We start from the raw sequence: 25,370 nt of genomic DNA on the forward strand, positions 1-25,370 counted from the left end.
AACACTACCTCAGCCAGGTGATCAAGATTAACATCAGCAGTATAAATGTGTCCTTGATATGATGTGATAAGAATAGCACTTTACCTTAGTGGTCTTCCTCCAAAAACACACACAACTCCAGTTTAATAACCGAAAAATCATCTAACAAATCCCAGTAGAGGAAGATTCTACAAAATACCTGACCAGCACTCCTGAAAACTGTCAAGATCATCAAAAACAAGGGAAGTCTAAGAAACTGTCACAGCCAAGAGGAGCCAAGACATGATGACTAAACGTAATGTGGTCCTCTTGATAGAATCCTAGAACACAAAAAGGATACTAGGTAAAACCAAAGGGGCTGGACGCGGTGGCTCACGCCTATAATCCCAGCCCTTTGAGAGGCCGAGGCGGGCGGATCACGAGGTCAGGAGATCGAGAACATCCTGGCTAACACCGTGAAACCTCGTCTCTACTAAAAATACAAAAAATTAGCCGGGCATGGTGGTGGGCACCTGTAGTCCCAGCTACTCGGGAGGCTGAGGCAGGAGGATGGCATGAACCCGGGAGGCAGAGCTTGCAGTGAGCCGAGATCGCGCCACTGCACTCCAGCCTGGGTGACAGAGAGAGACTCTGTCTCAAAAAAAAAAAAGGAAATCTGAATAAAGTATGGACTTTAGTTAATAATAATGTATTAGGCCAGGCACGTTGGCTCACGCCTGTAATCCCAGCACTTTGGGAAGCCGAGACAGGTGGATCACCTGAGGTCAGGAGTTTGAGACCAACCTGACCAACATAGAGAAACCCCGTCTCTACTAAAAATACAAAATTAACCAGGCGTGGTGGTGCATGCCTGTACTCCCAGCTACTCGGGTGGCTGAGGCAGGAGAATCGCTTGAACCTGGGAGGCAGAGGTTGCAGTGGGCCGAGATCACGCCATTGCATTCCAGTAATACCAATACTACTACTACTAATAATAATGTATTGACATTGGCTCATTGTGTCAAATGCCTCATGCTAACATGTTAATAGAGGAAATTGAGTATGGAGTATGTGGGAACTCTCTATACTATCTTCCCATTTTCTCCATAAATCTAAAACAGTTCTAAGAAAATAAAGTTTGTCTAGAGAAAATACCAGCTTAAAAAAGAGGTAGACAGACTTGAAAAGAGACTACAGAGACACACTAATAATGTAATTTGTGAACCTTGGTGGGGACAGCTATAAAAGCTATTTAGGGGATACATGGGGAAATATGAATATGAAACTTTGGGTGGTTGATCCATTTTTTTACCTGTGATAATGGAATTGTGGTTAAATGGGAGAATCTCCTCCCTCTTGCAGGAAAGGCATGCTGACATATTAAGTGATGTCCTGAAGTGTGATGATGAAGTTTGCAACTTAGCTCGAATGAATCAGGAGGGGAGGAAAAGCACATCTGGAGAGAGCAAAAGCAACAGTGGTAAAATGTTAAAAATGGTGAACCTAAATGAAAAGTATACTGGTGTCCATCCTATTTTCTTTCACATTTTCTGTAGATTTGAAATTTTTCAAAATTAAATTTCAGGGAAAATATAATTTTAGATTTGGACAAAATGATATGAAAGCTTATCTGAAAAAAATAAACATGCAGTAACTAGAAAAAATTCCTAAAAATGAGGTATGGACTAGCAATACCCAAGACAAAAATATATAACAATTTAAAATAATTAAAAGACTCGTATTTTTTGCAACAGACTACAGAACCCAGAAGCATATCTAACCAGACATATGGAAATTTGATGTATGAATGAGGATGATGGTTTTTCCAATCAGTGTTGAAAAAGTTAATAAATGGGGTTAGAATAGATTGCTATTGGAGAGAAAAATGTTGAATCCTCTCCTCACTCTTACTACCTAGACAAATTCCAAATGAATCAAAGATTTAAAAGTTGAAAAAAAAACCTTTAAAATACTGGAAAAATACATTAAATTTATTCTTAAATGCAAAGGTGGCCTTTCTAAGCAAGGCAAAATCTCAGAAGCTGTAAAGACTAAGTTTAACTACATAAATAAAACTTAGGAAAATATTATTAAACATGACAATGGACCAATTTTCTTAGCTTACAAAAAGCTCATACAAATCAATAAAACACATACCACCTAATAGAAAACAGAACATGACTACACATTTCACAGGAAATATCAGTAATCAATAAACATGAAAATGTGTTCCATCTCCTTCATTAAAATGTACCAGACCTTCATTAAAATGCATTAGAACTTCATTAAAACGCAAGATACCATTTATTCACTTTCACATGATCAGACTTCAAAAGTTTAGTACCCAGTATTGGCATGGGTTTGGTAAATAATCATTCTCATACATTATATGTGGAAGCATACTGGGCAAAGATTTCTAGAGGACAATTTGGCAGTAACTACTGAACTGAAAATAAAAAATACCCTCTGATCCAGCAATTGTATTGCTAGGTACACTGTAGAATAAAAACTCATTATATGTACAAGTATATTCACCACAATGTGATTTAATATTGGAAACAACCTAAAGAGCCTATCAGTGTTTGAACATTTGTAACACATTCAAACATTAGAATACCACACAGCCGCTAAAAATAATGAGGTATTTTTATATATACTGATACAGAAAGATCTCATAAAACACAGGTAGCAAAAAAAGCAAGGTACAGAAGAGTATATATAGTCTGATTCTATTAATGTGAAATTTTTAAAGTACAAATTTGCTGATAAAAAATAAAAAATTGTTTTCCTGTGAGTACAAGACACTTGAAACTGGTTACTTTTGGAGAGGAGTATTAGGGTAGGAGGGAAGGGACCAAGTTTTTATACCTTTCTGTACCATCTGATCTTTTCGCCATGTGCATACATCATCTTTCTTGCCCCCACTCCCCTTTCTAAGAACACTTAATTAACAGGTTATTTTGAGATATTCCTAGGTAGGTTTGAATACCGGTGGTGTTATTTTTCAAAATACTGTAGATAAGTGCCAAGTTTTGCAATTTAGAACTTCCCCTTGGATTTTCATTAAACTTTATATTTGCTTCCTTGATGCTTTAATCATAACGATTTCCTATTAAGTATAAAGTGACACTTTCAATGGGAGTTTGGCTTTATAACAAATTTGTGATGGAATCATTAGACACTGCTGCTCAAGAACCCATTTTTACACCCCAAAGGGCATTTGATGATTTATAAACATCATCAAGATTATACATTCTATTTTGACTATTAAAAACATAAAACTGCAGTAAGATTTTACATGTACAATTAAATTATCCATTGAATTCAGTAAAACAGCATCACAGTAGAAAAATACAGTCATAAAATTAGCTCTTACATTTTTCTGGGGACAGAAAAGCAGAAGAAATGAGATTAAAAGTCCAAAAAAAAAAAGCCCAAAAAACACTACCAAAAACAGGGTGAGACAATCATTTATTTATTGGACAGGGCAAGGTCATTTAAAGATTGGAAACATATCCCAAAAACACGTGTTTAGTTTGGTGTTACAGGCATTGATGCTCACAACAAACAACATTATTCAATACATCATGTAAACAGGCCACATACAACCAGGAAGATGCTGTCAAGCCACTGAGAAGCCACAATGCTTAGAAAACAATCATTAGGGAGTTACAGAGAATAATCACCTCCAACTCATTGATATGCATATTCTGCGGCTGCACAGTATTTGGCTGGTTCCCTGGTTATTAAGTGAGTCGTTCCGTATTTTAAAGAGCCTTGATTGGTACACACTTCTGAATATCACTGAAATCAGTCAAGCAAAGGCTTAACTAGCTCACATCATATTTTTGAACTACCCTAGGCAATAATTGACTGTCTCACAGTACTGTAGATAAAATTCTGTACTTAGCATATTTAGCAGTGTTACAACGCATCCAAATCACCTTTAAGTCCTATGGTACATACTTGAAAAAGACAGCAGAAACTCACTGGAGTAAATGAAAAAAGAAATTTGGGGAGCTCACCTGGCCTGAGGTATACAAGCTGCTAGCAAAGATAGACACACGTGAAAACCACTTTGTCAATTATTTGCCAAGTCATTTGGCCTGATTTTTGGCCTGATTTTTAGCCTGATTTTTAGCAGGACTCTTCCCGACTGAGGAGGCAAAGATTTCAACATCCATTCTAGAGACTAGCCACAGTATTATAAGTAGTAATATATCATAAATGCTTGGTTATGAGGAAAAACTACTCAGCATAAGATTCACGGAGAAAAACCTGTTAGGTATCTGGCCCTCTTGCCTGAAATCTATTGATTTTACCAACCACTCCCTTTCACAGCAATAAGAGTTCTCAAGATGAGAAGAATTTTCTCACTCCATATAGAAAATCATATTTGGGAAGCCAGTCCCAAAAGACCGAATATTGTAGAATTCCATTTATATGAAATGACCAGAATAAGCAAATCTACAGAGAGAGAAATAGATTAGTGGTTGCCAGGGGCTCGGGGATGGGGTGGGCACTGGGAGAAAATGAGAGGTGACTGCTCAAGGGTACAGGGTTTCTTTTTGGGGTAACGAAATGTTCTAAAATTGACTGTGGTCACGGTTACACAACTTTGTGAATACACTAAAAACCACTAAATTGTACCCTTAAAATAAGTGAATTGTAAGGTATGTGAATTATATCTCAATAATGTTACAAACATATTAAGAAACGAAGACATACCCCAAAGAGAAGGAAACAAGAGGCTCTTCCAAACCAAATCGTACCAGAAGAAAACAGTAGCCAAGTCTGATGGAAGGAGCTTGTTTCTTGCATGCTATTTTATCATCATCACTTTAACCCGATTTCACATTTTTAATTCATTTCTAAATTATTTTAGGTTATCGGCAGATTTCTAACTTTGTTCTCATTAGAGAGCAGAGTCAGTGTTCCGCAGACAGACTGGGCTGGCGTAACAAACCAAAACTAAACAACAATAAAAACCCAATGAAAAATAATCTCATGCTTTGGGGCTATGTGTTACCAGTCAGAAGAGAAGAGCTGATGTCCATTTCTAAAGGAAAATAAAATGCCTACAAGTACAATGGCATCTTATGACTCATGCCTAAAGCACATTTCCTTTTCAAACCTGCATACAGTTATTCCCTTTTTACACCTATACAATTCAACAAAAGCAATGTTTTTATACCTGTACAATCCAAAAAAAGCAACGTTCTCTACAAAGAAATGTTGAGCTTCCTACAGCTCTCTAGCTCAAAGAGCTAGCCAATTTCCTTAAAAGTAAAATTACTGTTTCTAAAAATATCAACTCTGTATCCTCATCCTCACTTTCAGCAACATACAGTGAAGATGGAAAACTTGAAGACTGCTATAAACCAGAAACTACAAAACAATTTCTTAAATGACCTGATTTTCCTAAAAACCTTAAAAACATTAGTTCCAAATACTGAGAATATATTTGGCCCAATTCCTTTGAACTCTGTCTTTAGATTAATGACGAGTTTCCTTTATTTCACTTATTCACTAGTTTAGTATGAAATAAACAGAGTTTGAATCAGTTAAACTGGCTAATGACAATTTTCCTCAATGATTTTTCTTCTGCATAGGCATGATAATGAAATCACAAAAGGTCTTCAACTAGTCTTCAACTATTCTTACACTATATAATCAATTAGGGAAATTTTTACAGACAAATGAAGAGAACACAAGTAGCTTTACAGTAAGTTGAGCCTGTTACATATATTTGTTCTGACAAAGAATTTCTGACACAAAAATTGCTCACTGCACACAGAATCTCAGAGAAATGATGAAACAAGACAGCTGATGGTAGAAGGTATATGGGAGCAGGGTAGGGTGAAAAGTCACAAATAAATTAAAAACTGGCAAGTACTTCTGAAGCAGAGCCACTTTTTAGGGGACACAAGAAAAACTGTTAAATCACCATTTTGGTCTCATCAGGGAAGTCCATTTGTTAAGAATTGAAGACCATTTTACTATAATTCATGCTGCAAAACACAGCAGTCACACAGTATTTCCAAAAGGATTCCAAAAATTGTAGTGCAAAAGAAAAGAAATCTAAAAAAATAAATAATCACAAAAACCACCAACATTTTTCAAGGAAATGTGTTCAAAACAGTGGCTTTTACAAAAGATGTGGATTTGTTTTAAATGAAAAAAAAAATAATTCCTATATGAAATACCAAAGACTCATTTCACATATAACTTACACTGCATTAATGATTGGATTAACAGTATATAAACAAGGGCCATGGTTTTTTTTACTAAAGTAGGTCTGAAAGATCAATATAAATACTAATGGGGGCAGGGAGGAGTGTTTTATACCCCAAACTCCAATATTCCAGCTCTGTGTCCTGTCCTATTATTATAATTTGTAAAAATCTTAACGACGCAGTGATTCGAGTTTTCGTAACTTCAATGATGTGTTAGAGGACAATGCATCTTGGTTTGAAGAATTTGCTGTATCCGAAGGCCGGAAAAGTACTCGACCACGATGATTAAATACATAAAAGGATGGGTGATTCCTTAACGTATCAAATGTCCTTGAAAGAAGAAAAAAGCATCAATTTTAGATAAACCTTTATAAAACCCTACTTGAAAATAAGTAGGCTTCTAACGAATTATCAATTTACTATGGGTTATATTTTTTAACAAGTATTAATACATGAAATCAGACTGTAAATAATAATTATACTGTATCTCTTTTCCTATATAAAGAAAATAAGAAACCTGGAAAAGCAGCATATAGCTCTCAAATTTCTTCTTTTTAAAAAAAATAGAGATAGGGTCTCATTCTGTTGCCCAGGCTGGAGTGCAGTAGCACAATCATAGCTCACTGCAGCCTCAAACTCCTGGACTCAAGCGACCCTCTCATCTCAGCCCCCCAAGTGCTGGCACTACAGATGCGCACCACCACACATGGCTTTCTTTTATTATTATTTTTTGTAGAGACAGGGTCTCCCAATGTTGCCCAGGTGGTCTCAGACTCCTAGGATCAAGCAATTCTCCTACCTCAGCCTCCCAAAGAGCTGAGATTACAGGTATGAGCCATGATGCCCGGCTTCTAATATTTTTTTTTATCCAGCCATTCCTTCCAGAATGCCTATGAATAACAACACAAATACTAGCTCAACTATTAATCTCCCCTGTAAATCTAACAGTAACGCATGTCGAATAGTCTTTTTAAAAAAGCAGCACATAGATTACAGCTTTGATTATTCTCATTTGGCCCTCATTATTCAAGCCATATGATCGTTTCACAGATCTGTTTTCCAAGAATCTTTCAAGCACAACAAAAAATTCCTTTTGGCCCTCTGTACCTGCTATTGTCCAAACACATATTTTTCTACCACCTACTTAATGACATTGTTTTACTTCTTTCTTTCCTGGCCCCTTGCCTGTGATTCTTGGTAGACTCTTTGTAAGAGCAAGCAGTGATGACAGTAAAGTATCCTTTCTACTTTTCCAGTGAGAGATATGTAGTCTAAAAGAGTTCACAAACACCTTGGTGTGTGGCCTTTATGGTTTTTGTTTTTCAATATTATTTTCCTGGAAAGGATAGGAGAACTCTTCCTTTGACAAAAACTCAAATCTCAGCCCACCTAAACATCCAAGCATACTCCCATACAAAAAAGAGGCCTGATATGTAACTCCTTAAAATGTACATATTGGGTGGGGCACGTTGGCTCACATCTGTAATCCCAGAACTTTGGGAACCCAAGGCGGGTGGATCACTTCAGGTCAGGAGTTCGAGACCATCCTGGCCAACATGGTGAAACCCCGTCTCTACTAAAAATACAAAAATTAGCCGGGCATGGCGGCAGGTGCCTGTTAATCCCAGCTACTCAGGAGGCTGAGGCAGGAGAATCACTTGAACTTAGGAGGCAGAGGTTGCAGTGAGCCAAAATCATGCCACTGCACTCCAGCCTGGTTGATAGAGACTCTGTCTCCATAAAGAAAGAAAGAAATAAAAATAAATAAAATGTACATAATGAACTAAAAGGGGGATATGACTTTCCTCTAACACATAAATGTTCACTGTGACTCCTTCTAAGAAAATATTGTAAAGGGGCATCATGTCCAGGATCAAGAAGGTGGGTAAAGTCCAGAGATGGAACTGAACAAAGCTAAAGGATGATTTTAGGAAAGTAAAAATATGAAAAATAAAAGCAAACATAGCTCATGAAAATAGCTTAGAAGTAGTCCAGGAGAAAAAAAAGAAAGCAGAATAACAAATATACTTTTAATCCAGTAGTAGAAAAGGGCCTGGGAGCAGAGCTTATCTCACATACTAGGTTCAAGTGAGAGGGGAAACCGAAAACCACTTACTCTTCCAAAGACTAAGCTGGGACAAGAGGATAGAAAGAGGATGGTAGGAAGAGAGGGATGGAAGGAGTGAAAGGGGGAAGGGAGGGGGGAAGAAAGGGAGCAAGGAAGGAATGGAAGGAGAAAGGTTAAAAATTCTGAGGCATTATTTTTCTATATATCTATTTTCATCCATACAACCAACCAATAATTTTAAGCAACGTATTTTTTTGATTCTACTGTGAATAATCTGGCATTCATCTTCCATTTTCTTACAGTATCAAATACCGCCTCAATGTTTTTACCTCATTATTCATACAAACTGTGTAATCAAAATGCAGAAACAAAACCAACTTTTATGTATCAGAAAACATACTTTTTAAAATTATGTGAATACAGCAAACCTCTATGAAATGCAATGCCTATGAAAAGAGAAAGACTTACTTATTTTTCAGTTCTGAAGTGGCATCCATGTCTTTAAACTCTCCTGCAATATGAACTATACCGTAACAGGTAACTGCAAAGGCCAGAAGTGTCTGAAGAACTATCTGTGAGTATAAAGATTGATAATACTAAATAACACAAACATTATTATAAATATTTACAATTTTCTCTCTACCTCTTCATTGCCTCTAACAGGTAGTCCTCTCAGGGCCACCATCAGGGAGACAATGCTCACTTGAAATGACTGGGATTCAGACACAATACAATCTATAAATTCTGTGGATTGGCTGCAAAAATACCTCTGATGCTTCAATAAATAAATCTAGTGTTCAAATAAGCAAAATCACTGAGTACTGAATGGTACTGAGCCACTCAGAACTCAATGATCAAATATTACCTGCTTCCAAGAGCAACTAAGAATTTTTAAGGTATTATTGTTTTTGTTTTTTTTTTGTTGTTGTTGTTGTTGTTTGCTTTTTGTTTTTGAGACGAAGTTTCCCTCTTGTTATCCAGGCTGGAGTGCAATGGTGCAATCTCGGCTCACTGCAACCTCCACCTCCCGGGTTCAAGCAATTCTCCTGTTTCAGCCTCCTGAGTAGATTACAGGCATGCGCCACCACGCCAGGCTAATTTTGTATTTTTAGTAGAGACGGGGTTTCTCCATGTTGGTCAGGCTGGTCTCGAACTCCTGACCTCAGGTGATCCGCCCGCCACGGCCTCCCAAAGTGCTGGGATTACAGGCGTGAGCCACCACACCCAGCCAGTATTATTGTTATATATCATAGAGTGCAGAAAGCATATGTACACAGCATAAAGCAATTAAAAGACCATGTACCCACCACCCAGCTTAAGAAATAGATCATTCCTAGTACCTTTCAAGTTCCACATGTCAATCTCAGATGATATCCTTTACCTTCCCTCTCAAAGTTAACTATGGTCCTGAATTATATATTACTCAGTTTCTTGTTTTTCTTGATAATTTTACCAGCTATTAAATATATATGAATCTCTAAAACATATATGCCTTACTTTTGCCCATACTGAACTTTATTTAAATGGACTCAAATGTATTCTTTTGTGTCTAGCTTTCCTCGCTCAACATTATGTCATTGTGTGTGTGTGTGTGTGTGTGTGTGTGTGTGTGTGTGTTTTCTTTTTTTGAGATGGAGTCTTGCTCTGTCACCCAGGCTGGAGTGCAGTGGTGCAATCTCGGCTCACTGCAACCTCAGCCTCCCAGGTTCAAGTGATTCTCGTGCCTCAGCCCCCAAGTAGCTAGGATTACAGGTGCCCGCCACTGCACCCAACCGATTTTTGTATTTTTAGTAGAGATGGGGTTTCACCATGTTGGCCAGGCTGGTTTCAAATTCTGACCTCAGGTGATCCGCCTGCCTCAGCCTCCCAAAGTGCTGGGATTACAGGCATGAGCCACCGTGCTCGGCCAGTTTTCACTGTGCTTTGTATTTCATGATATGAAAATACCACAATTTATCCATTCTGCTGTTGTTATTGGATATGTGGGTTGTTTCCTGTTACCTTCACAATCAACATGAATATTCATATGCATGTCGCCCAGTTCACACATGGAAACACTGAGTGTAGAGTATGCACATGTTCAATTTGATTGAGTAATATCAACTGCTTTCCAAAGAGGTTGAGCGAGCAAAAACGCAGAATGTTTTATTTTAACCAACATGGGATTATGGGCATGTTCAGATTATAGAAAAAAGTTCTTTAAAATAGACATAAATATGTGTATGTGTGTGTGTGTGTGTGTGTGTGTGTATCTACCACAAAAAAAAGGTGATAGGAGTTAACAGCCTCATCAATCATATATTTAATTACAGACAAAGTCAAAATTAGCCACAATCTATTTTCCTGTTTAAATTAAAATCTAACATCATATACGATACCAATTTACATTCCCACCACCAGTCTACCAAGAACACTTGGTTTTTGTTTTTGAGATGGAGTCTCGCTCTGTCACCCAGGTTGGAGTGCAGATCTCGAGTGCATGATCTCGGCTCACTGCAACCTTTGCCTCTCGGGTTCAAGTGATTCTCCTGCCTTGGCCTCCCGAGTATCTGGGATTAAGGCGCCCACCACCATGCCCGGCTAATTTTTTGTGTTTTTAGTAGAGACGGGGTTTCACCGTGTTAGCCAGGATGGTCTTGATCTCCTGACCTCATGATCTGCCTGCCTTGGCCTTCCAAAGTGCTGGGATTACAGGCGTGAGCCACCATGCCTGGCCAGAAGACTTGTTTTATATAACACAGTCACAGGCACTTTTAACAAGAATCTATATGAGCTGTCATGAAAGTAAGACTGAAGTTGTTAAGTAATAAAAAAGTTAATTATAAAACTATACATATATACACATGTATAACTTTTTAAAGAAAAAATAATACGTGTTTGGATTAGGTAAAACTACACATACATAATGCTGTTTGTGTATAGGAAGAAGACTGAACTACTGCTATACTCCAAACTGTTGGGAGTAGAAGTGGAACTGCCAAGGAACGGGGCCAGTTCTTCTGTTGTTGGTGTTTTTATAATTGTGTAGGGTCAGTTTTAGTTTTTACTGTTTGACTCTGTTACAAAGAACTTACTACTTGTGTAATTTCAAGTCTAGTAAAGATAAAAATTGTGAGTGATGCTGGAATACTTATCATTTTAGTTTTAAAAAACACTTTCCTGGTCGGGCGCTGTGGCTCACACCTGTAATCCCAGCACTTTGGGAGGCTGAGGCAGATGGATCACCTGAGGTCAGGAGTTCGAGACTAGCCTGGCCAACACAGGGAAACCCTGTCTCTACTAAAAACACAAAAAAATTAGCTGGGCGTGGTGGTGGGCGCCTATAATCCCAGCTACTTGGGAGGCTGAGGAAGGATAATTGCTTGAACCTGGGAGGCAGAGGTTGCAACGAGCCCAGATCGCGTCACTGCATTCCAGCCTGGGCAACAAGAGCAAAACATTGTCTCAAAAAAAAGAAAAAAAACTAAAACCACTTTCATTTTACCACCTATGTATGTCCCTAAACAATGTACTGTTGGCTTTATTTCCCTTACATAAAAATGAACTTTTCTAAGAAATAAAGCTAAATAATCAACTTTTTAAGTCCATCCCATACTATGGACAGAGCATCTTCGAGAAAGACTATTTCGACTACAGCTCTAGAAACCAAATAGAGAAACCTTTCCAAATCTTTGAGCTTTATGAGTGATGAAAAGTGGAGATCACAGGCCAGGCGCGGTGGCTCACTCCTGTAATCCCAGCACTTTGGGAGGCCAAGGCAGGCGGATCATGAGGTCAGGAGATCGAGACCATCGTGGCTAACACGGTGAAACCCTGTCTCTACTAAAAATACAAAAAATTAGCCGGGCATGGTGGTGGGCACCTGTAGTCCCAGCTACTCGGGAGGCTGTGGCAGGAGAATGGTGTGAACCTGGGAGGCGGAGCTTGCAGTGAGCTGAGATCAGGCCACTGCACTCCAGCCTGGGTGACAGAGTGAGACTCCGTCTCAAAAGAGAAAAGAAAAGAAAAGAAAAGTGGAGATCAGATTTTATTTCATGTCTGAAAAATTTTACGAAAAACCAGTAAAAAAAAAATTATTACAAGCTATGTGGCTGATTTTAAACATACATGTAACGGAATATAAATGACCAACTTACATCTATTGGCAGTGATTCATCTTCTTTTTCTGTTAATCGCATATAAGAACGATCTATAAACCAGAAGCATACCATTAAGGAAACTGTAGTTCATTTTTCTTTCTTAAAATGAAGCAAATCAATATACCAAAGAAGTGGCTGACTTATGTGCAGCACACCAGCATGGCACATGTATACATATGTAACTAACCTGCACATTGTGCACATGTACCCTAAAACTTAAAGTATAATAATAATAAAATAAAATAAAAAATAAAAAAAGAAGTGGCTGACTTATATGCTACATAAAGTAATGCTAATCCTGGATTCCTCAAAACCTTCTATCTTCTAAGGTAGTCAGCTCTATCTTAGTCAACTATTTTATTTTCATCATGACCTGCTTTGTCACCTTATAAAATGGGTAAGAGTGACAAGTGAGCAAGTATGAGGCAGAAATACCTTAGTATAATTTTTCTTTCATTATTATAGAAATACTAGAAACTTCTCAAAACCGTTACTTTCACTAACTCGCCAAAGAAATCACAATTATTTAAAAAGTAAAGTCTACAGAAAATCTCAACTCTGAAATAGCACCACCACCAACCACACAGTATGGACAAAATAATACTGGTATGGAAATGGTTCTCCTGAGAGGATACGCTGGGGCAGTGGTGGAATAGGAATTCCATGAAATCAATTTCTGCCTCTACTAGTTAATTATAATTCCGCTGCTGCTGCCTTAACCTCAGGAGGCAGCAAGGGATAAAAGAAAAGGATCAGGATTTGGAAACTGGTAAGCCTAAATCAGTGCCAGCTCTTCAATTTACTATAATTTCATTTAATTAAAGAAGCCCGCAGTGATCATAATACATATCTCAAGTTCAGAGTGTTAAAATGGTGGGTGTCTTAGAATCAAAGAAATACAGTATCTATTTTTTTCATTACCTGAATTTCCACAACAGTAAAATGAGAATAATGTGAGGTGAGGATTAAACAAGATACAGTAAATGACTGGTGCCCTACTGTAACAAAGTTCATTACAGCAAAGATGAGCATGCCACAGCACCACATTGTGCTATCTGCTGCTACAGTCTGACATGACACACTTAGTCTTAAAGTTACATATTACTCTCTCCCTAACATGAGCATTATATATAAAGAGGTCTCACTGCAGTGGCAAATCCACAAGGCATTCTCATCACCCAAAACATAAAATACAAAAATCTTAATTCTAGATGAACCTAGGACAATCCCTATTTAATAACGTACTTTGGACTAAATAATTCAAACTGTTTTTGAGTGCATGTGTATTGACTCTTGAAGAAGAATGTGTTTAGAGACATTTCTTAAGTTTTAACCTACAGCTCTGTCATAAAGACAAGTGTAAAAGAAACATCAAACCAACACCAAAAATCGATTTTGACTAATCTCCTATCTGGTTCAATTCCTAGCTAGCTTGCTAGTTTGCATGAAGCCTCGCCTGCTTCTAACACTACCTTTAACCAGGAATTTCCTCATCTGTAAAATGAAGGGGTTGGACTTCAGTGAACTCCAAAGGCCCTTCTCGCCCCACAATCATATAATTCTACAGTTAAAGCTTACTGTAGAAAATGACACAGTACTCCAGTGTATCCTAATCTCTTCCAGGACAGTGTTTCTCAAACTAATGCGCATACAAATCACCCTGGGATCTTATTAAAACCCAGATTCTGATTGAACAGGTCTGGCCTGAGTATCTTCTAATTACCTGCCAGGTGGTGCTCATGATGCTGGTCTGTTGATCACACTGTAAGCAGCAAGGATCTAGGATACTTTCCTTAACCTCCCAGTTCCCCCAAAATATGACTGTCCCTGCTTCCATGCATCCTTATATACTTTTAGCATATCACTTTATTGTAACTACTTCTTGATCCACTTGTTTTCCTTTAGACTTTGAACTGGCTCAGGGCATCACTGTATCTCTAGCACCTAAACACAGCGCAATTTCAAACAGCGACCCAAAACTGAATTTCATAACGCAGTGTAGCACAAATCTTTTGCCCAACGTCACACAGATGTAGCGGTAATGCAAGTTTTTAACAACCAGTCCTTTAGACTCCCAGTCCAGTGCTCTTTCTCCTGTACCACAGTGCCTCCCTGAGGCAATCGGTCACTTAACTACTCAGTCTCTGCCTGGACAGCCCAAGAGTGCCCAAGATGTTGTCCACTTGGTTGTCGTGGGACCATGAGCAACCAGAGTCCTCAATCTCACAACTGTGCCTGATCTGCCCCATGCTGGATCTGACATCACTTGTCCTGGATTCCTGGAGACTCCTATTCTGAACCCTCTCCCAGACACCTCCTTCCAACCTTCCTGCAATTTCAGGTGCCACACTCTCTCCAAATTCAAACTCCGAACCTTCCACTGGGAACTCCTGCACTGATTTTCTTAGTCACCCCAAACTGTAAGGTCTCAAAGGACCATTAATCTGACACTCGGTCCGATGGTCCCTTAGAAGTGCGCCCACACACCGCCCCTAGGGTTCCACACCGAAGCGGTCCCCGTGCCCCAGGCACTTACGCTGCGCAGCGGAAAAGGCGGCGTGGGCTAGGGCAAAGAGACCGATGCCCACCAGCCCCTTCCACAGCGACGGCGCCATGATGCCGAAGGAGCAGCAGCCCAGCAAAAGAAGCGAAGGACGGCGGAGCTGTTTCTTCTTCCACCGGCGGGTGTCCGCGCGCCGCAGAAAGATGACGTCACTGAAGTCCTGAGCGCAAAGTGTCTCAGTGGTGGAAAAGCCAGAGGGCTGTGAGAAAACGGAAACAGGAATGCCGGGAAGAAGCAGAAAGCTACACGGAAAAAGGTCCGCGAGAACCCACGAACCTGCGCTATGGAGGCCTCTCTAGGAGGGCCGGAGCCCAACGGAGTCATAAACGAAGAGGCGAAAGCGGGAGCTACGGGGAAGCGAAGAGGAAGGGCGCCGGCAAATGGGGGCAGGGCCAGTGGCGAGAACAGGGTGGGGCAGAGGGACGGGGGCCTGCGTAGAGAACGTGTGGGGGCGAGGGGCGGGGTAGGCAGACGGGCGGGGTGGGGAAGACGCGCGGGGCCCGCACGAGGGTGGGTGTAGCCGAGGGGCGGGGCCAGTGGGTGGGTGGGTGGGCGTAGCCGGGGGGGGGGGGCCCTGGTGGGTGCGGTCGAGTGGCGGGGCCTGCGGGGAGGATGGGTGGGGCCGAGGGGCGGGGAGGAGGTGGGGCCGAGGGGCGGGGAGGAGGTGGGGCCGAGGGGCGGGGAGGAGGTGGGGCCGAGGGCGGGGCCTACGGGAGGATGGGTGGGGCGTAGGGGGCGGGGCGGAGGGGACGGAGAGTGGGTGAGGGCCGAGGGGGCGGGGAGGAGGTGGGACCGAGGGGCGGGGAGGAGGTGGGACCGAGGGGGCGCGGAGGAGTGGGACCGAGGGGGCGGGGAGGAGGTGGGGCCGAGGGGCGGGAGGAGGTGGGGCCGAGGGGCGGGGCTGGGGGCGTTGGGGAAAGGCGGTAGGTGCTGGATATAGACCCCTGACAGTTGTGTTTTGTGGGTTGGTTGGTTTTGGCTTTTTGTGAAACTGTGCCTTTTGTTTTCTGTAGGCCTTTCCTGTGCTTCAGCTCCCTGGAAACTGGCACTGCAGAAGGAGGCAAGGGTGTTAAAACGAGGAGGCAGTGTCAGGACAAAATCCCAGGATCTGGAACCCCAAATACTTGGCTCGCGGGAAGTGCTCAGTAAACCATTTTAAGGTCCTGGAGAAAGATTCGCGCAAAAAGAGGTGTAGCGCGGGGGGAGTGTTTTGTCGTGAAAAGAACCAGCTTACATTAAGGAAGAAATGAAAGAGGAAATTTTAAAATGCTAATAACGCAGCCTTCTTGCCTTGTCTCTATCTCTGATCCGGGTAAAATGTATACTCCTCTGCCCATTTTTCTTTGTCTTCATCTCCTGAAATGTAGACATTTAATAGTGAGCTTCTCCCCTTGACCTCATCACTCTGCTGTCCCCTGGGGAGCTCACCCATTCATTCCCACCGCTTCAGCCAGCAAAGGTATTACAGTGATTCCAAATCGACATCTCTATCACAAATATCTCTCCTTAGCTCCAGGGCTGCATTTCTGACTACCAGATAGGCATTTATTTCCTGTGGCACTTAAAACGTAATATGGCTAAAATGGAATTCATCCTTTTTTTCCAAATTCTGCACCAGTTCCTCCAGTGACCCCTGACTGAGTGGCAAAGCTTTGTAAACTGCATATCACAAGGTAAATGCAAAGTATGATCACCATTCTTTTCCTTTAACCCAATCAGAATTCTACGTTTTAGTTGCATCAATTTGCTTTTGCTCAAAGATGCGTCCTATCCTGACCACCCCTTTTAAATGTGCAAAATTCCTATTCCTGATCCCCTTATTCTGTTCTACTTTTTATATCACCTTCTAACATACTATATAATTTAACTATTTATGTTTGTTGTGTTACTGTTTACTGTCTGTCTTTCCCCACTGGAATGTAAGCTCTGAGAGAACAGAGATTTCTCTGTACCTAAAACTTTGACTGTCATGTGATAAGCATTCAATAAGTGCTTGTTGAATGACAAATGAATTCCGGAAAATAATTGGGACAGTATCCCTATTTGAAAGGATCTCTACAGAGAGTCCTTCCAATCTTTTGAATTGGGCTCAAAAATCCCCATGGACTTGCATGTACTCTCACATTTTGACAACCTTTTGATTGTAAACATTTTCTGATATGCTTGAGCTTCCTCAAAGCTGGAAAAACAAATAAGACATCTCATTAGCTGGGCATAGTAGCACATGCTTGTAGTCCTAGCTACTTGGGAAGCTAAAGAAGGAGGATTGCTTGATCCCAGGAGTTCAAGGCTACAGTGAGCCATGATTATGCCACTGCACTACAGGCTGAGTGACAGAGCGAGACCCTTTCTCTAACCAAAAAAAAAAAAAAAAAAAAGTAGAAGAAGACATCTAAAATTAATCATATTTCCTCAACTTTACTTATATAATTTTTGTCCTGGATCTCATTTTCCAAACCTTTAGTCATGTTCATTATTCTTTTCTGGGCCCTTTCCAATTTCTTCACCTCTAAGCCAGAATTTTACACAATACTTGATGGATGTCAAGTGCAGTATAATGCATTCCTTACAAATGTAGTTCTATTTATACAATCAGGAAGAACCAGGAGATAATCTCTCTGTAGTTGACAGGAAAGTGCTTCCTTCTCCGCCCCTGGGAGGTAATAAGGTAGAAAAGATAGTTGACCAAAAAAATCTTACAACTTTGTTTTGTCTAAAATAATGGTCAGATTGAAATTAGCCTTTTCAGATCCCCTGTAAAATTACCCCTTCTTCCAGACCAGCCTGGCCAACATGGTGAAACCCCATCTCTACTAAAAATACAAAAAATTTGCCGGGCGTGGTGGTGGGCCCCTGTAATTCCAGCTACTCAGGAGGCTGAGGCAGGAGAATCGCTTGAACCCAGGAGGCGGAGGTTGCAGTGAGCCGAGATCACGCCATTGCACTCCAGCCTGGGCAACAAGAGTGAAACTCCATTTCCAAAAAAAAAAAAGAAAAAAGAAAAAAACCCTTTTAATATCAATTTATCTGAAGCAGAAAATGATTAGGAGTTTTCTTATAGGACCTGAGATCTGGTTCTTTTCCTTTAAAAAGATGAAGTTATAGGAAAAAAGAAATTCAATAATGAATCTGGTATTTGTATAAACCACCAATGCATTATCCTAGTCTTCAGGGAGATCACCCATGTCCAGATATTGAGTTTTGTTTTCTCTATTGCCCTCTTAAGATGCATTTCTCACTCTTTTTTTACCTCTTTACCCATATACTGAATGCAAGAGAAACTAGCCTCGTTTCACATTTTCTAGTAATACATGGTTAAATTATGTTCAGGGAGTGAGATTTTAATTGTCTTTTCTGTAGATTCCAACCTGAAGGGAAGCCAAGGTATTCATAGTCACAGTTACCAAGGACTGTATCATTCAAATAAGTACCTTGGGTTCACTCATACATGGTTCTTTAAGTTGCAGTTAATCCCAAAGGTGCAAGGTACAGCTAGTGGTAGCACTGTTTTCATGAGCTCTTAGAACAAAAGTCAAACCTCATGAGAAAGTGCATTTAAATTCCTAAGTGACCCCAGAAGTGCTGTTTGTTTTTCCAAAGAAAGAGCCATTTTCCATATGCACCTTGGATAAATGATGTGGATGTTATTAAAGATGGGGATAATGGTCTCTAAAGCGTTTCCTACTGAGATGTTATTTGTGAAGACTTATCACGTTTCCCAGGCTAGTTCACTGAATAGAGAAAGCACTGCTATCCCAGACTCATCTTCAAGCTAATTGACTTATTACATGCCACCCAGCTCCACGAGTATCTTCACACACTGCTTATCCACGTCTCCATTTTCCATGCAGATTCTCCCTCGATCTGGCACACTGTTCTTTCCCACCTGGTTCAAAATTCCACTTTCCTTAGGAATATGCTCCTGACTATTATAGATATTTATGAGATATATACCTATTGTAGGCACAAAACCTTTCTTTGAGCTATTTATATTTCGTACAACCTCTCTGGGTAACACATTCTAGAAGTTTACTACCTGCCGAGTAAACTAGTACTTTCAATATTGAAATCGCATCCTGTTTACTTTTTTTTTTTCATTACCAAAGTGGTATGAGCTCATTGTAAGAAATTCAAACAATAAAAAAAAGTATTTGTCTTGAAGCATTAAGTGGTACCTTGGTATTTTAAGTTTTGAATCTGAGTAAACAGTACTGTGGTTACATGATTCATATCTTTAAGATTTGTTTACTTGCTGGATGATCTACACTACAGTGGTTAAAAGCATATGCTCTGGAATAGTTTTGGGTTTGAATCCTTGCTTTTCCTTTTCTACCTCTGAGAGATTGGAGAAGTTACTTAACTTCACTGCGCCTCAGTTTTCTCATCTGTGAAATGAGGATAATAATAGTGTTTACCTGCCTAGGTTGTTATCAGCATTGAGTGAGATCATACATATAAAGTGATTAGAATAGTCTTACACATAGTAAACACTAAGTAAATGTCAGCCATTGTTGTTGTTGCTATTGACCCTTCTAGCTATTTTTGTAAGCTAAAGAGGTTCCTTACCTTTTTAGTCTTTCCTAAAACATCAATTGCTTCTCTCTTTTGACTATTTTAATTGCTCTTCTCTGGACCATTTCCAGATCTACTAATATCTCTCTTAGGGTTTCATTACCACATGTGCACAAAGTATCCTAGGTTACTTGTGTGAGGTTAATATGATTATTCATTTCAAATAGCCTTCCTAGCTGGGCACGGTGGCTCACGCTTGTAATCCCAGCACTTTGAGAGGCTGAGGCGGGCAGATCACTTGAGGTCAGGAGTTCAAGACCAGCCTAGCCAACATGGTGAAACCCCATCTCTACTAAAAACACAAAAATTAGCTAGGTGTGGTGGCGCATGCCAGTAATCCCAGCTACTCGGGAGGCTGAGCCAAGAGAATCACTTGAACCTGGGAGGCAGAGGTTGCAGTGAGCCAAGATCGCACCACTGTACTCCAGTCTGGGCAACAGAGCGAGACTCCATCTCAAAAAAAAAAAAAAAATCAAATAGCCTTCCTAATGACACTGCAAATCTTATTTGCTTTTTGAGCACATTGGGTTGGTCTGTTCAGAAAATAAAGTGAAACTGATCCAATATTCCCATAGACTGTTCTTTTTGATAAATGTAGAAATTGACCCTTCTAGTCTTAAAGCTTGAAACTTACATTTGTTTGATCTGAGTTCCTTCCTCAGGAAAGGACCTTCAGGCCTCTCAAAAAAAAGCATCAAAGAACTGAAATTCACCAGACCACCACACCAGATACCACCACACTAGATTCCAGACCCCTCATTCGTCATGATTGCTTCCTTGCCCCTCCCTACTTCTTGTTTTCTTATACATTATTGCATTTCTTCCCTGCTTTGTAAACCCCTAGTTTTAGTCGGTCAGGGAGATGGATTTGAGACTGAGCTACCATCTTCTCGGCTGCAGCACCCAATTAAAGCTTTCTTCCTTGGCAGTACTTATTGTCTCAGTGATTGGTTTTCTGTGCAGTGAGCAGCAGGGCCTAGACGGGACCCCTGGTATTTCAGTAACAAAACTGAAAACCTCAGCATCCTTATCCTGGGTACTAGCTGTGACCTATTCTTTGTTCCACATGAATATAGGCATTTTCTATACTGCTGCCTTAAGTCCAAGTCTCTTTATACCTTCTCTTCTTTGGCGCTCCCACAGCGTCAATATTATGCATATAGCTCAAAAATCCATCACTGGTCCAGTCTTTACTCCTGAACTGCAGAGCCAAGTTCCTAAGTGCCTATGTTGACATCCGTTCTTGGATATCCTACCAGTCCCTTAAATCCAACCTGTCCATAGTTGAGCTCTACTTTCTGACTCCCACATTAATGCTACTGACAGCCCTCTGTTTTTCAGTTATCCAGGTTCAAACCTTTGGAGTCATCTCTCAGTTCTTCTTCCTCAGGCACTCCCACTCACCCACCCAATCAATTCCAAGACAGGTTAATCCTACCTCTGCATTGGCTCTTTGCATCTAACTTTCCATATGCATTCCTACTGCACCTGCTAAGTTAAGGCCTCACTACTCTTCAGCAAGATGACCTTTATAACCTCCTAACTGGCCTCCCTAGTACTTACCTTTCCACATTTCTTTTCTTTTCTTGAAATGGAGTCTTGCTCTGTTGCTCAGGCTGGAGTGCAGTGGCACGATCTCAGCTCACTGCAGCCTCCACCTCCCAGGTCCAAGCGATTCTCCCACCTCAGCCTCCCGAGTAGCTGGAATTACAGGCGCACACCACCACGCCCAGCTAATTTTTGTATTTTTAGTAGATATAGGGTTTCACCATGTTGCCCAGGCTGGTCTTGAACTCCTGACCTCAAGTGATCTGCCCACCTCAGCCTCCCAAAATGCTGGGATTACAGGCGTGAGCCACTGCACTCGGCCTCCACATTTCATTCACCCCCTTTTCTGTTGCCAAATTAATATTGGGGAGGTTTTTGACCAGGAAAATGAATGAGTTAAAATTTTCTGTGGCATAGAGGACTTCCACAATATGACTTCAACCTAGTTTTTCAGCCTGTCCCCCAATACATGATTTTTTTTTTTTTTTAAGACGGAGTCTCACTCTGTTGCTCAGGCTGCAGTGCAGTGGTGCAATCTCGGCTCACTGCAACTTCGGCCTCCCAGGTTCAAGTGATTCTCCTGCCTCAGCCTCCTACCAATACATGAATTATTTAATTCAGTGTTTATCAGGCACCTCCAACGAATCAATGACTGTGTTGACTAAACTTATCTATGCTGTTCAGTCATCTAGTATTACACTGAGTGAAGCTCTCTTTTCAGCTTATCCTTGAATTGAATCTCTCTACCTGGAGAAATTTAATGTTATCTGCAGATATGAAGATTTCTTTGACACTTCATTAAATTTAAGAGATATTTATTTATTATTTTTAGAGTCGTGGTCTCACTCTGTTGTCTAGGCTGGAGTGCAGTGGCATGATCATAGGTCACTGTAACCTCGAACTTCTGGGCTCAAGCAATCCTCCCACCTCAGCCTCCCAAGTAGGTGGGACCACAGGTGCACACCTCCATACCTGGCTAATTTTTTAAATTTTTGTAGAGATGAGTTCTCACTATGTTGCCCAGGCTGGTCACAAACTCCTGGCCTTAAGCAATGCTCCTGCCTCAGCCTTCTAAAGTGCTAGGATTATACGTGTGAGCCACCATGCTTGGCCTAAGAGACATTTATTGATGCACAGATATGTTTTATTAAGTTCCTGTTTTGGTTAGGCCTTATGCTAGATGCTGTCAGTAAGGAAATAAATGCCTAGTTCCTGCCTTCAAGATGCTCATGACCTGTTGAATGACAAACTTGTCAATCAAACATGACAGTACATCATGGGAGCTACTAGGATAGAGATCTTCCCAGGGGGCCATAGAGCCCTTTCTGAAGAGGGGCCCTGTATTAGTCTGTTCTCACACTGCTATAACGAACTACCTGAAGACTGGGTAATTTATGAAGAAAAGAGGTTTAATTGACTCACAGTTCTGCAGGCTGTACAGGAAGCATGACTTGGGGAGGAGGATCTCAGGAAACTTGCGATCATGGTGGAAGGCAAAGAGGAAGCAAGGAGTGTCTTCTTATGGCAGCAGGAAACAAAAAGCGAGGGGGAAACGCCACACACTTTTAAACCCTCAGATATCCTGAGAACGCACTCACTATCACAAGAACAGCATGGGGGAAACTGTCCCCATGATCCAATCACCTCCCACCAGGTCCCTCCCCCAACAGGTGGGGATGACAATTTGACATGAGATTTGGATGGGGAGACAGAGCCAAACCATATCAGGCTCCTAACTCAGCCTGAGGGCATCCTGGAAAATTTGGTGATCTTTAATCTGAGTTTCGTCAGACAAGTAGAAGTTAGTTAGGTGAGGAAAAAGTTGAGGACTATCCAAGTAGAAGGAACACATGGAAAGGCACATAGACGGCAGGAAACCACATGAAGCATTCAAGGAACTAGAAGTTCAGAATGGCTGAAGCAAAATATATTTGGGAAATAAGCACAGGATATAAGGGTGAAGAGACAGTCTGGAGGCAGGGTGTGTGGAGCATTGGGTGCCAGGCTAAGGAGCCAGAGCCAAAAGCAAGGCAGGGGGCATTAGAGGATTTGTGTTCCAGAAACACCCCCTTATGAAAGTGTAGAGGAATGATTGGCAGAGACTAAAGAAGAGGTCAGCATATCTTTCTGGCAAAGGGCCAGATAGTATATATGTAAACTTTGCAATCCACAGTCTCTTTTGCAACTGCTCAACTCTGCCCTTGTAGTGCTAAAGCAGCCATAGACAATAAGTAAAGGAATGGACATGGCCATGTCCAATAAACCATTATTGATGGACACAGAAATTTGAATTTCATATCACTTTCACATGTCACAAAATATTCTTTAATTCTTTTTTTCTCAGCCCTTAAAACGTGAAAAACATTCTTAGTTTCAAGACATACAAAAACAGATAGCAGGCTGGATTTGGCCCTCAGACTGTAGTCTGATTTTTGATAATCCCTGGACTATCCCTGCACTCCCTGGATGGGAGTGCAGAGAATGCAGACAATTCCTTTGAGAAGCTTATCTATGAAGAGGAAAGGAGAGATAGTACAGTAGCTGGAGGGGTGTGGATGAAAAGGTGTTTCTCAGAGGAGACCTGAAAATGTTCATGGAGAGCAGAAAGAGATGATAGAGAAGGAGCCACTGAAGATGGTGGAGGTGGAGGGCGGGGGTTGGGGGGGGCGGTGATTGTTGGAGTAGATCCTGGAAGAAGAGGAAAGGAAGTGATGACATGCAGAGTACAGTTTGGTCAATTCGCTTTTTTTTTTTTTTTGAGACAAAGTCTCACTCTGTCACCCAGTCTGGCCCAATATCAGCTCACTGCAACCTCCATCTCCTGGACTCAAGCCCTTTTCCTTCCTCAGCCTCCTCAGTAGCTGGTGCTACAGGCACGCGCCACCATGCCCGGCTAATTTCTGTTAATTTTGTAGAGACAGGGTTTCACTATGTTGCCCAGGCTGGTCTTGAACTCCTGGGCTCAAGTGATTCTCCCGCCTTGGCCTCCCAAATTGCTGAGATCAAAGGCGTAAGCCACCATGCCTGGCCAATTAGCTTCTTAAGGGAGAAGGAAACACTTCTTCCACTGTGGCTGGGGGGAGAAAGAAAGGATGGGCACTGATGGGATATTTAAGTAGATAGCAGGGTAGGATTTTCCCAGAATGCCTTGACTTTCTCAGTGACAAAAGAAGCAAGGCTGGATTCCTGGTGAGTTGTCTATATGAGCAGTGAAGTCACTCAGGATGATGTCAGGCCTGGGGAGTGGGGTGAGAGGAGAGAGGAAGCCTGTGAAACAGATTCCCTAGTACTCAGCAAATGTGTAGGAGTGACCAGGAAGTCAATAAGTGAGGACCATGGGGAAGGAGAAGGTGTTAGAGCTTCAATGGAGGGTGGAGGGGTAATGAGTTTGAAACAATGTGAAACAATGGGAGTGAGCACAGTGCCAACTCCTTCAGGCCACCTGATGCAGGGTGTGAGTTGTGTATACGTGTGTATATGTGTGCAGGACAGTGGGGCTGTGACCAAATGAACATGAACAACCTCCACTTGCAATAGCGTCAGAGCGTGTGATATCCTGGGAGAGACATGGGTTCTGGTAATGAGAGGAGATGGAGGGGCCATCCATGCAGTGACTGAGAGGGTTGAGTAGTATGTTTACAAGGAAGAACGTTCCAAGGAGCACACCGACTAACATGGAAAGGGAGGGAAGTAGCAAGAGGAGAAACCCGGGTGTAGGCGTCAGAAGTATAGAGCAGTGCTGGATGGAGAGAGAAGTACATTCTCGGGGGAGCAGAAGCCTCAGGGGGATTGGCTGCCTGGTAGAAGTTACTACCATTTCAAGATTCCTCCTAGAACTCGAGTACAAAGAGATTGCTGAGGGGCATACTAAGTTGCTGGGGCCACATAAACAGAGGTGGAGTCTGGTGCTTGAAGACATTTCCTGACTCTGGTCAGGGAAGCAATCTGTGGCTTCGGGTTTTTTTTTTTTTTTTTCAAGTTCCCAACACTCAGTGAAAAGTGGGTTTATGCTGGGACAAAACAGCCTTGGAATGAGCAGTTAGCAGGTAAGCTCATTTACTAGGTCTTCTGGGGAGAGGATGATGGGGAGAATGGGAAGGATCCTCACCTAGGTTTCTTGCTTCCACAAAGCCCAGCTCTGTGTGAACAGGACAGTGTGGTTCAAGTGGAGTCAGGGTATAGGGGAACAGGCAGCCATGAGGTTTCTTGGGAAGACACAGACCCAAGTACTAATAGCAGAGAATGGGCACACAGTCACTGGCTCTGATTTGGGACAGTTCCTGACC

At 41.4% G+C, this 25,370-nt stretch overlaps 2 protein-coding genes across 5 annotated transcripts in view, besides 2 other annotated features; one reads left to right on the forward strand and one right to left on the reverse strand.

Annotated features, from left to right (window-relative positions):
- Positions 1 to 1,928: 1,928 nt before the first annotated feature.
- MMGT1 (membrane magnesium transporter 1) lies at positions 1,929 to 15,329 on the reverse strand. Of its 2 annotated transcripts, NM_001330000.2 has the most exons (5): positions 15,241 to 15,329; positions 14,938 to 15,163; positions 12,399 to 12,451; positions 8,731 to 8,834; positions 1,929 to 6,524 (listed from the first exon to the last, which is right to left on the reverse strand). In NM_001330000.2, the coding sequence occupies exons 2-5, from the start codon at positions 15,014 to 15,016 to the stop codon at positions 6,365 to 6,367; spliced, it is 396 nt and encodes a 131-aa protein (NP_001316929.1). In that variant the 5' UTR covers positions 15,017 to 15,163; positions 15,241 to 15,329; the 3' UTR covers positions 1,929 to 6,364. The 2 variants fall into 2 exon arrangements, with proteins under 2 accessions (NP_001316929.1, NP_775741.1); NM_173470.3 differs by having other exon boundaries at positions 14,938 to 15,329.
- Positions 14,878 to 15,407: an enhancer, noted in NCBI's record as "active region_29987". NCBI's record gives its function as "activates an Ori minimal core promoter by ATAC-STARR-seq in GM12878 lymphoblastoid cells {active_cell/tissue: GM12878}" and the evidence as "EXISTENCE:reporter gene assay evidence [ECO:0000049][PMID:35858748]".
- SLC9A6 (solute carrier family 9 member A6) overlaps positions 15,178 to 25,370 on the forward strand; it is a 73,433-nt gene continuing 63,240 nt past the window's right edge. The window contains exons 1-2 of one of the 3 annotated variants that reach the window (NM_001400909.1): positions 15,178 to 15,373; positions 15,978 to 16,124. The gene's annotated coding sequence lies outside the window, so the exon portion shown is untranslated. Of the gene's footprint in view, positions 15,374 to 15,936; positions 16,125 to 25,060; positions 25,131 to 25,370 lie in introns of those variants that run through there. The other 2 variants (NM_001400910.1, NM_001400911.1) reach the window with 2 other exon arrangements.
- Positions 15,418 to 15,527: a silencer, noted in NCBI's record as "silent region_21024". NCBI's record gives its function as "represses an Ori minimal core promoter by ATAC-STARR-seq in GM12878 lymphoblastoid cells {active_cell/tissue: GM12878}" and the evidence as "EXISTENCE:reporter gene assay evidence [ECO:0000049][PMID:35858748]".

The sequence above is a fragment of the Homo sapiens genome, chromosome X, assembly GCF_000001405.40.
Source record: "Homo sapiens chromosome X, GRCh38.p14 Primary Assembly".
NCBI lineage: Eukaryota > Metazoa > Chordata > Mammalia > Primates > Hominidae > Homo > Homo sapiens.